Source organism: Homo sapiens, chromosome 20, assembly GCF_000001405.40.
Source record: "Homo sapiens chromosome 20, GRCh38.p14 Primary Assembly".
In the NCBI taxonomy this organism is placed as follows: domain Eukaryota; kingdom Metazoa; phylum Chordata; class Mammalia; order Primates; family Hominidae; genus Homo; species Homo sapiens.
The window spans coordinates 2,363,226-2,375,590 of record NC_000020.11 but is presented as its reverse complement, the minus strand read 5'-3'; positions in this window follow the sequence as shown (position 1 = coordinate 2,375,590).

The following is a 12,365-nucleotide window of genomic DNA, read 5'->3' as shown; positions in this document are numbered from 1 at the left end:
ATGTTTAAAAAATTGAATACAAAAGCAGCTATGAGAATCCAGCTGTTCTCTGTTAAGCCTGCCATTTAGTTAAAGAAATTTGCAAAAAAAAATTTATATCTAAAACAATGCCACTCATACTAATGTTATTTTTGTTCTTGGAAAGTACAGTTATTTTTCATAAATACATGTTGTATGTGTTAAGATGCAATAGGTTTTTTAGTTTCTAAGTGAATTAATGCATACATTTTTGTAAGTTTCTCATTGTTAGCTTCCAAATCAGTAAAAAAAAAACTATAGATATAACCCACATAAGCAAGTGCTCTTTGGCATCTCAATAATTTTTAAAAGTGTAAAGGGGTCTTGAGCCCCAAAAGATTGAGAACTGCTGGCCTAGAGTGCACTTCCCCTCTAGGATTCCAGGTCTGTCCCTTAAGAGAAAACTTCAGACTGACCCAAATCACAGGGGAGGGAGCCTGAGGCTGTGGACTCAAGTAAAGATGAGGCTGAGGGCCAGAAAAATCCAGAGCAGCTGTGCCCTGTGGGTGGCACCCCAGGCCTCTCTGCTGCTTGGAACCCCCATATCCAGAGCCCCGTGGGTCCAGCAACCACAGACCTGGTACCGCCCATGGGTGAGTTCCAAGGGCCAAGCAACCAGCTGGACACAGGATCCCCTGTGCACTCTGGCTGGGAGTCACCTGTGTTGTTTTGGGAATTCATCCTCACAAGACAATGAGTTAGAACAACCTATCACAGCTAGACCTGGACTGGTCGGGCAGCAGGGTGTCCCTTCCCCTCTCTGGGCCTCTGTTTACCTGGCTATAAAATGGAAGATGATACTGCTCCCTCTCACCCTTGGGCAAAGTCATCGGGCAACTAATAAAAGACTGTGAAGCTCTAACTCACCTCTACATCACCTCATCCTTAGGACCATGCCTGTAGCCGGTGACATAGGTGATAGGCAGCTGGCGTTCATGCTCTTGCAGGGAGGTGCTCACCCAGTTGGAAGGCAAGATGCTCTAGTACTGTCATCAGCAGACCTTGTCCTTGCCCACCTTATGTGGGCCAGAGCTGTGTGGCAAGCCTGGAGGTAAGAGGTGGCCTCATCCCTGTCACCTGTGTCCTATTGTGGCCTCGTCTGTCTTTCCATACATCACACATTGTTAGCACCTACGAGCGGCTCTGAAGCTGCAAAGACTTCAGATCTCACTGTGTCACTGCTTTGGATGCTCAGGAATCACCTCACTTATGATCCCCTCTTCATTCATTTCTTCCATTCTGCATTCATTAATTCCTGTCAAAACTCATTCAGCAAATACTTCTTCATGCTCATTAAAGGGAGAATCACTGTGGAACCTATTGAGATGTCAGCGGTTCTAACACTTTTGCTATCAACTTCTCGATGTCATCTGATTCTAGATCCTCCCCTTGGTTCAGTTCGGCTCACTCACTCTGTGATGAGGATAGTGTTTTTGAAATATTTTCAGTCATATTTCTGGTAAATTATGTTGACCTGAGGTTCCCCACCCACTGAAGCCAAGAGTCTCTGTGCTTCCGGGACAGGGCAGAGGAGACTAATTATAATGGGTCATCATCTAGCACTGACTGCCCTATCAGGTTTTTTGGTTTCTGTTTTGTTTTGTTTTGTCCTTCATAAGACAATGTTGTTTTTAAAGCTAGGCTTTGCCAAGAAAGCGTTTAGTAAACTCTTTAAGTTTCCATTAACTATCAGGATCCAGGCTTAATGAATCATAGCTCATTGTAGCCTGGATCTCCTGGGCTCAAGTGATTCTCCCACCCCAGCCTTCTGAGTAGCTGGGAGTACAGGCATGTGCCACTATGTCTGGCTAATTTTTACTTTATTTTATGTTTTGTGGAGGCAGGGTCTCGCACTGTGTTGCCCAGGCTTGTCTCAAACTCTTGGCCTCAAGTGGTCCTCCTGCCTTGGTCTCCCCATTTGTTGGGATTACAGGCATGAACCACTGTACCTGGCCTGGATACACCATTTCAGGGAAATCCTTTCTACCAGGGCACTGAGGGGAGCCCACCTGTGTTGAGTATGGGGAAGAGAAGTGAGACCAAGGAAGGAGAAGCAGGCAGATTTTCTATCTGATTTCAGCTTTCTGGGGCAAATTTCCATAGTTTCAGGAAAAAGCCAAAATTAGAGGGCTTTTGCCAACCAACCTATGGTAGGAAAAACATCAGAACAGTGGTTGCCTTTGGGGGTGGTTAGAGACAGAGATTGGAAAGGGGCATGAGGGGAGTTTCTGGAGTGATCATTTTTTCTATATTTTGATTGGAATATTGATTACATAGGCATTTATTAAAATGCAGCAAATGTACACTTTAGATTTGTACATCTCATTATATGTGAATTTAACACCAAGAAAAAAACTGTAAACAAATTTCAAACTCTAGTTAACCATAGGCATGCTGAAGTATTCAGAAGGAAGTGTACCAATGTCTGCAATTGACTTTGAAATGCACCAAAAATTTCTGGTTGGATGGATGTGTGGATGGACGAAAGGATGGATGGAAGAGTGATAAAATAAGCATAGTAAAATGTTAATGGTAGAATCCTAGGTGAGGGGCATATGGTGTTCACTATTAAATTCTTTTAACTTTGCTCTATGTTTGAAAATTTTCATAATAAAATGAAAAAAGGGTTTTTGCTTCATGTAGCATCATGTTTTCTAGCTGTCCAGTTCTTTTTATTGTTATTAATTTTTTTTTTTTTTAAGAAACAAGGTCTATGCTATGTTTCCCAGGCTGGACTCAAACTCCTGGGCTCAAAAGATCCTTCCGTGTCAGCCTCCTGAGTAGCTGGGACTACAGGCGTATGCCACTGCACACGGCTTGCAGACCCTTTTGAATGCCTTTGCTGTATTTTGCAAATTTCCAGCCTCAATAGTCACACCATCCAAAGCCAGAACACAGAAAACTCAAAGCCCAGCCTCCCTGGTAGGTAGGATGCAGGCCTGCCACATGCACTCATCAGATCAAACCCAGGCAAGCAAGACTCCAGCTCAGAAGTGTGCAATTGGATGGCATGGATTACCTGCAGGAGGCAGGTCTGTTGGCATGAATGGTGGCAGAGACCAGCTTCCATGGGGATCATGGTTTACTAGTAGCTGCAGGATGAGTTCCTGCCCCAGAGGAGCATTGGCAGAACAGGGGCAGGAGCGTTGGTAGCAGCTTCTATTTCCTCGTCAAGCCGGTTCTGAGGTTCTGGATCTTATTCCTGGAAGCTGAGTGCTCCTGATGATTCTGCGGGTCCTCCTTTATCCTTTTATAAATGCATTTTTGCAGACAGAGGAGCTTGAGAGGTAGGCCTGAAACAAGCCTCCTGTCCACGGCAGGCAGGGATCCAGAAGTTCCCATATGGTCAAGGGAGGGGAATGAAGACGCTGAAAGGACTTGTTGACCAGCAGTAGCCTGGAGTTGGGACAGAAGCCATGGAAAGTGAGGACTTCTCAGCTGGAGGCACAGGGCAGGGACCACAGCCTCCAGTGCTGGGAGCCAGCACCACATCCAGAAGGCCAGTTGTGATCAGACACACATCAACTGTCACCAATAAAGGACCAGGCGAAAGCAGACAAGTCTGTAAACAGAGAACATGTGGGTCCCAACCTCCCTCACAGAAGCCCCCATTCCAGGCTCCCTAGATGCAATCCTGGAGGAGAACAGAAGGAGGAGGAGTCTGAGAGATTAAGCACTTACGCGGCAGGGGCTGGATTATAATTACAAGACCGCTTGGACTGGAAGAGTCTAAGGTATGATTAACCCAAGTTTAAAAACGTGTTTTTTTCTGGAACCCAGCAGGACCAGGGCTCATAAAGATTAGATCAGTGATAAAAATAAAGTCATCTTTTCATTACCCATTGGAGAACTGCAGTGCTACCATTTACTGTGCACTTTCTGCGTGTCAGGAGCTGCTCTAATTTGCATTTTACCTACTACTAAGCACCAGTGTTGTTCCCACTTTTCTGAAGGGAAAACTGAGGCTCAGAAAGAATATGCATACTTCTCAAGTTCACAAAGTTGATAATGAATGGAGTCAAAAATTGAACCCAGAGAGTCTGAGTTTAGTATCTATAGTCTTAACCATGGTGCTAGCGCTACAATGGGCAGGGATGGACATGGCAGAAATACAAGGAGGTTGCCATGCTCTGGCTTTGCTGCTCCAGTTATCACTTTGTTCAAGATTCTGCACTTCATTTGGCCAACCACCAAGCCTATGTTAGTGTCTATGTGGGTGAGGCATTGTGGAAGAGTGAGGAGTTAGACCTGATCCTGCTACCAGGCATTACCTTGCTCAGAATCTTTTCATTCATTCATTTATTTCAGATGATAATGGTGGGGAAGAGGGAAGGATTAAAAATGAATAAGACACAGTTTCTAGCCTTAAAGGAACTCATTATCTATAAGAAAGAAAAACAAATACACAAAAGTGGCAGCCCATTGAAGTGGATGATTCCTAAGAAATACATTAACAGAGAGTTGTGTTAGCTCAGAGCTAGGAGAGGACATTTCCAGCAAAACTTTCCCGGGAAAAAGAATGAAAGTAATTTAATTCTGTTGGGAGAATGATGTTCTTCTTGTAAATTCTAAGTGTTTTTTAAGGAAATCAGTTGAAAAAAGTATGCTTACAATCAAATCCCCAGTCTTTCCTGTGTTTAAAGAATGTTTCAAACTCTCAAGGGAGATGAACAAGGAAGGAAAAGATGAAATGGTTAGGAGTGATAATCTTCCAGCTCTGACTGTGTCCTGGCCAGTACAGCCTGGCTCATCCTCAGGCCAGTCACTACAGAAAGCCAGACATGAATGCCGCCCCCTAAAACACAAAAATGCCTTACTGAGAGCTTTGCAGAACAGAGGAGTAAAAGGGCTTCCCGGCATAGATATTGGCGTGAACACCTGCAGTCAGTTCCTGAAGCCTCACCAGTACGGCAAGAAGGACTTCGGAAGAATCAGAGAGAAGTTAACAACAGCAAAACCTTGAAAGCTCAAAAGCAGGGGGAAGACAGGCAAATAATGAGCAGATCTGAAAAAAAAAAAAAAAAAAAAAAAAAGCTAATTCTCACCTGGCAACGAGAAATCCAGGCAGTGGTGAAAACCAACCCAATCTTCCTTTGCAGCAAGCTGAAAAGCTCTGGAATTTGACAGATACCTCTGTAGATGGAGCTTGGGATGGAGGGGTTTGTGTAAGAAAATAAGAATTGGCTGAGAGCTTATTTATGAAGTAGTGGGTCCCAGGTCCCCTCCACATTCTGTGAGCTGAATCACTGCCCCTTCCCTGGCCCAACAAAAGTCTGTGGCTTTGTTCTTCAGTGAGAGTAAAAGAGAGGGTCTCTGGGCTGAAGCACAACAAGCTCAGCTGAGGTCTAGGGTCTATGCTGAAAATGGGGTATTCAAGGGACATTTGTCTACTGGATGCTGAGACGCTGGCCCACCCACCTCCACCTGCCCACGTGCTCCACCATGATGCCGCAGCCAGGAGGAAACAGTGCTCACGATTCCGTCAGCTCCAAAGGAAAGACTTAAAGATACTGACATGAGAGTTTCCTCAGCTCCACAGCCCTGTGTAGTCACCCTACAAGGACACCCTCAAGCACACACTCAGAACTTCCAGTTTTTTATTTGTTTGCTTGTTGATGTTTGAGAAAGGGTCTCACTCTGTTGCCCAGGCTGGAGTGCAGTGGCGCCATCTCAGCTCACTCTCACCTCGACCTTCCTGGGCTCAAGTGATCCTCCCACCTCAGCCTCCTGAAGAGCTGGGACCACAGACATGCACCACCACACCCGGCTAATTTTAAAATTTTTTGTAAAGATGGGGGTCCCACTATGTTGCCAGGCTGGTCTTAAATTTAGCCTCAAGCAATCCTGCCTCAGCTTCCCAAGGCATTGGAATTATAGGCGTGAGCCACCACACCCAGTCCCAATCAGTTTTTTTAGCCCCTACTTTTAAATATCAGCAGAAAAGATTTGCCAGACATCTAAAGAAAATTTCTAACATGAAAGAGAAAGGAAAAAAAATAAACATACTAAAATAAGAAGCTCAGAGGGATCAGCCTATTTGAGGAGAAGAACATTCAGGAAAATAAACTATTCTTGATGTTTTCAGAGCTGTGAAAAAATATTGCAACCATAAAACAAGAGCGGGATATGATACAAAAAAGAAACATCCAAACCATAAAAAGCTCTAGAAATTTACAAATATGATAGTGGAAACAAAAAAAATCTCAAAGTATACAGATAAGAGAATAAAGTTGAAGCTATGGCTCAGCAAGTTGTTTAAAAAGAAAACCAAGGATGTCCAAGAGAGAAAAAGACAATCAGAAGGCCAATCCACAAGGTCAGATATTAGAGCAACAGGAGTTTTAGAAAAAATGAGAGACAGAGATAGAATAAGAGCCAGCAAGGGAGGGATGGGGTGGGCAGGGTGGGGGGAGGGGTAGTGTGTCAGCCAAAAGGGAGGAAATTATCAATAAAATATTTTAAGACAAATTTTCAGAAACAAAGGACATGACTTTTCAAATTGAAAGGAGTCACTGAATGTCAAGCATAATGGGTGATGGATGAAAATGGGCACTTACCAAGCCCTGTGAAATTACAGCCTACTGGAGACACAGAGAAGATCCTATGGGCTTCCAGAGGAAAACAACAGATCAGGTACAAACGATTGGGATTTGAGGTGACTTTGGTTTTCCCAACAATAACACTAGAGTGCAGAAAATTCCAAGGGAAAATCATTTCCATTGTAGGATTCTATACCCAGCCAAACTATAAGCCAAGTGTGAAGATAAAATGCATTTTAGACATGCAAGGTCTCAAAAGATCTGCCTTTAAGGGCCCTTTCTTGAGAAGCTGTTGGAGGATATCCTGCAACAAAGAAGGAGTAAGCTAGGTAAGAAGAAAATATGTTTGCTACATGAAACAATAGAACCAACTTAGGATACAAGTTCCAGGGTGATGCTGAAGGGAGACCCAGGATGACAGCTGACAACTGGAGGATATCCTGCAACATTAAAGGAATAAGCCAGGTAAGAAGAAAATATATTTGCTACATGAAACAATAGATCCAGCTTAGGAGACAGATTCCAGGGCGATGCTGAAGGGAGGCCCCAGAACATCAGCTGGGAATTTGGTATAAAAACCAATCAGTCCAGGGCACAACAGATCAGAAGACTCCAAGCAAAACTTCCTCAGGATGTCAAATCTGATAGAATACCTGGTGTGTCTAAAAGTCTTGAGAGGCTATTTAAAAAATTAGTGAATGTTTGGGATTGAAATAGTAGTGGGTGTATAGAAAACTAAGCCAATATAAAGGCTAGACTTTGAATCATTAACTCCAGGGAAGGGAAAGCAAAATGTTACTGAGGAAAGGAAAAGTAAACATGATTTTACTACATGGATCAACTGTGAATTTACAAAGCTTAATAAGGTAAGCACCTGATAGTAAAGTAACCAATGTTATGACTTAACAGTACTGGGAGGATGGGAGATGGGAAGGCTATACTTGGCATGATGGTGGTAGGAATATGAGAGGGGTAAGCTCTTATTTGCCATAGGGACAGTTGTCACTATTTTTCTGGCAAATCAAGAAGTAGCAATTATTTTCCTCAGAGCATGTTATTTAGAGGTATGAAGGTAAATTTAAAAATAATTAGGTAAAAAAGTTGAATTTATCTTGTAACTTTGTGTAGCAAATTCCCACAAACTTAGCAGCTTAAAAGAACATCTATGAAAAAAGTCATTGTTTCTCAAAAGTTCAACAGAATTATCAAAAAACCCAGAAATTCCACTTGCAAGTATACACTCAAAAGAAGTAAAATTTCCAATAAGCACATGTGCAGGCATGGTTATGGTAGTAGCATTTACAATAGCTGAAAGGCAGAAGCAACCCAAATGCCCATCCTCAGATGAATGGATAAACGGTGGAATATGCATGGAGCATTACTCAGCCGAAAAGTGAGACAAAGTACTGATAACATCTTACAACATAGATAAGCCTTGAAAACAATTGTACTAAACCTTGAAAACATTATACGAAGTGAAAGAAGACAGACAAAAAGTCATATATTGTCTGATTCCTTTTATATGAGATGCCCAGAATAGGTAAAATGATACGGAAAGCCGATGGTTGCCAAGGGCTGGGTTGGAGGTGAGGAATGAGGAGGAGTTGCTTTATGGGTATAAGGTGCCTGTTTAGGGTGATGAAAATGTTTTAGAACTGTATGGAAGTCACCATTTGCACAAATGCCACTGAATTGTCCTAAATCCCACTGAATTGTTCACTTTAAAGTGGTTAATTTTATGTTATGTGAATTTCACCTCAATTAATAAAACATGTAATCTAATTGCCCAGTATTATTCTGGGTTAGTGTGTGCAGCACTCCACTAATGAGGTAGAATTATACCATGAGGTAGAATTATAACCTTATTTACTTTTTTAAATTTATTTAGGCAATTCTATTCTTTCTCTTCAATTTATACCATTCCAAAAAATGGAGTAATACGCGCCTTTTTCTTTTTTTGAGATGGAGTTTCGCTCTTGTTGCCCAGGCTGGAGTGCAATGGCGCAATCTTGGCTCACTGCACCCTTCGCCTCCTGGGTTCAAGCGATTCTCCTGACTCAGCCTCCCGAGTAGCTGGGATTACAGGCACCCACCACCACGCCCAGCCAATTTTTTGTATTTTTAGTACAGATGGGGTTTCACTATGTTGGCCAGGCTAGTCTTGAACTCCTGACCTCAGGCGATCCACCCACGTCAGCCTCCCAAAATGCTGAGCGTGAGCTATCATGCCCGGCCGTTCTTCTTTAAAAACAAAACAAATAAACAAACAAAAAAACCCTAAGAGTGGAGGAAGGGGTGTGCTTATTAGTGGTGTCTTTTGAAAATGTCCTGGGTCCTTTTAACTTGAGTTATCAACTAAATAGGACAAGTCTGTATTCTGCAGCATGAGGAAGAATATCCAGAAATCATGACCTTGTCTATGTGAAATAAGACTCTTTCTGAAAAACAAAACAAAAACACCCCATGCATTTACTATTCCACAGTTTTGGAAGGTCTAAGCTATTTAATTGGATTCTCTGCTGATGTTCTCACATGGCTGAAACCAGGCTGCTACCCAGGGCCGCTTCTCATCTGAGGCTTGGGGTCCTCTTCCACGCTCATGCAGATTGTTGGGAGAAACCGGAAGTTCTAGGACTGAGGTCTTTGTTTTTTTGCTAGCTGTCAGCTAAGGACTGCTCTCAGGTCCTAGAAGCTACCCATAGTCACTTGCCAAGTGGCTCATACAGGCTTTCTTCCAGGCCAGCTGAAGCAGGTCTCTCTGATTTCCTCTTCTGCAACCAGACAGAGAAAACTCTTTGCTTTCAAAGGGCTCACCTGATTATATGTGGCCTACCTAGAATACTTTTCCTTTGGCCATAAATGTGACATAGTCATGGGAGTGATATCATACTCATAGTTTCTATCCACACTCAAAAGGGAGGGCATTTTATAAGGACAAGGGTCATTGGTGGTTATATTAGTCAGGGTTCTCAAGAAAAACAGAGCCAATTGATTTTATTTATTTATTTATTTATTTATTATAAGGAATTGGCTCATGTGATGATGGAGGCTGACAGGTGCTAAGATATGCGGGGTGAGTCAGCAAGCTGGAGACCCAGGACAGCCAACGGTATAGTTCTACTCTGAAGCCCAGCAGGCTCAAGAATCAGGAAGAGCTGATGTTTCAGTTTGAGTCTGAAAGAAGGGAAAAGCTGATGTCCAAATTCGAAGTCAGGCAGGCAGGAGGAATTCCCTCTTGTTCAGGGGAGAGTCAGCCTTTTTGTCCTATTCTGGACTTCACCTGATTGGATAAGGGCCACCCACATTAGAGAGGGCCATCTGCTTTACTCAGTCTACCAATTTAAATATTAATCTCACCCAAAACACCCTCACAGAAACACCTAGAACAATATTTGACCAAATATCTGAGAACTCCATGGTCCAGTCAAGTTGCCACATGATATTAACCCTCATGGTGAGCATCTTAGAATTCTGCCTCCCGTAGAAAGGGAAAGAAGTAGCTACTGGAGAGGGGGCAACTGGAGGAAAAAAAAGTGGATGGGTGATGTTTTCCATGCCAACCTTGTAGAGATATTTGACTTGTACTTAGACCTGGGCCATACACCATATCCTTCCCTATAGGGTCAGGAGCCTGTGGGGACAATGGGCCATGTCCACATGGAGCCTGTGACCCCATCTTCTGTCTAGACCATGTCAGGGACCACTGAATACCCTGATCAAACAGCTCTGCGCCTGCATGTAAATTGTGAACTGGTCTCTTTCCCAGGCTAGTCCTCTTGTTGGTGGACTGAACACTGCTGTGTGTACCTCCAGATCTGAGAAATGGACCAGGGCAGCTATTTGTGATGGTACCGATAGCACTTGAACATGTTGGCTGAGGTGTCTTTTTAAAGTTAAACTTTCAGTTTTGGGGTAATTGTAGATTCACATGCAGTTGTGAGAAATAACACAGAAAAATCCCAGGTTACTGTTTACCCAGTTTCTCCCAATGGTGACACCTTGTAAAACGACAGTACAGTATCACGTTGAAATTAACATTGATACAACCCGTCAACCTTATGCACATTTCCCTAGTTTTTACTCCTACTGATGTGTGTGTGTTTATTTGTATGCAAATATTATCACATGTGTAGGTTTGTGTATCCACCACCACAGCCAATGTATAAAACAACCCCATCACTAAAAGGATCTCTTATGTTCTTTTTTTTTTTTTTTGAGACAGAGTCTCACTCTGTTGCCCAGGCTGGAAAGCAGTGGTGTGATCTCAGCTCACTGCAAGCTCTGCCTCCTGGGTTCACACCATTCTCCTGCCTCAGCCTCCCTAGTAGCTGGGACTACAGGTGCTTGCCACCCCACCAGGCTAATTTTTTCTATTTTTAGTAGAGATGGGGTTTCACCGTGTTAGCCAGGATGGTCTCGATCTCCTGACCTCATGATCCGTCCACCTCAGCCTCCCAAAGTGCTGGGATTACAGGCGTGAGCCACCGCGCCCGGCCTCTTGTGTTCTTTTATAACCACATCAACTTCATCAACTTCTGTCCTACACTCCCTCTGTCCTACTGGCAACCACTACGCTGTTCTTCATTTCTATAATTTTTGTCATTTCAAGAATGTTATATAAATAGAAACATATAGTATGTAACATTTTAGGGTTAACATTTTTTCCTACACAGTGTAACTCCCATGAGATTCTTCCAATTGTTGTATGTATTAATAGTTTGTTCCAAATGTTGGCCAGGATGCAGAGAACCAGGATCAGTCATACATTTCCAGTGAGAATATAAAATAATACAGCGTCTCTGGAAACAGGTTGGCAGCTTCTTACAAAACTAAACATGCAATTTCCGTGTGACTCAGCAATTGTCCTCACTGGCATTTAACCTAGAGAGATGAAAACTTATGTTCACACTAAAACCTGTATATGAATGTCTATAGCAACTTTATTCTTAATACTCCAATGCTGAAAACAGCCAGTCCTTCGGCGGATGAATTGTTAAACCATGGTACATCTATACTGTGTTTCTCTATGGAGCTACAAAGAGGAACAAACTATTGATATGCATGACAAGTCAGAGGCTAGTATTATCCTAAGAGAAAAACCAGAGAAAAGCAGTAAAAAACAAACAAACAAACAAACAAAACTGGGGTAGTGCTTTCTTTTTTACTTCCTGCAGAAACCCGAGCCACCTTCAGTTGCTATACTGGGGCTGGGGCTGGGTAACCTTCCTCTGTTGGGTGTGAGCTGTAAGATGCTTGGCTGCTGTGTTGTTCCTCCAGTCCTGGGATCTCTAACCAGTTCATCTTCTTCTTACCACCTCTCAGAGTTCTCCTTTTGTTGCCTCTTGAGTTATTTCTGGGGCTTATTGTTGTACTCAGTGGGGACAAGTGGGGTGATCAAGTCTATGATATGTTGTTTAAACTGGGAGTCCCAAGGTGTCATTTTATACTCTGAAGGGTGGCACAGAGCCACAGGTGGGGAGGAAGATAGAGATGATCTAGGGCCAGGGGTAGGGAGCTTTTTCTACACTATTATTTATGAAACAAAATTGGAGCTGTCTAAAATTTACACTGAGTCTTCTAGGTCATTTTGAATATACATATTTGTCAAGGCTGGAGTAGACAATGCATATTTTTTAGCAGCTTATTAACATGACTTATGACTTTTAAATATTTGCATACCAAATTCATAAAACTCCGTTTCTACTCCTGCCCCAGCCTGGCAATTGCTAAGGGCAGGCCTAGTAAGTGTGTAAGTCATTAATAAAAAGTAAAAATAAAAATACTTTCTTTAAAAGGGGGAAAAACATT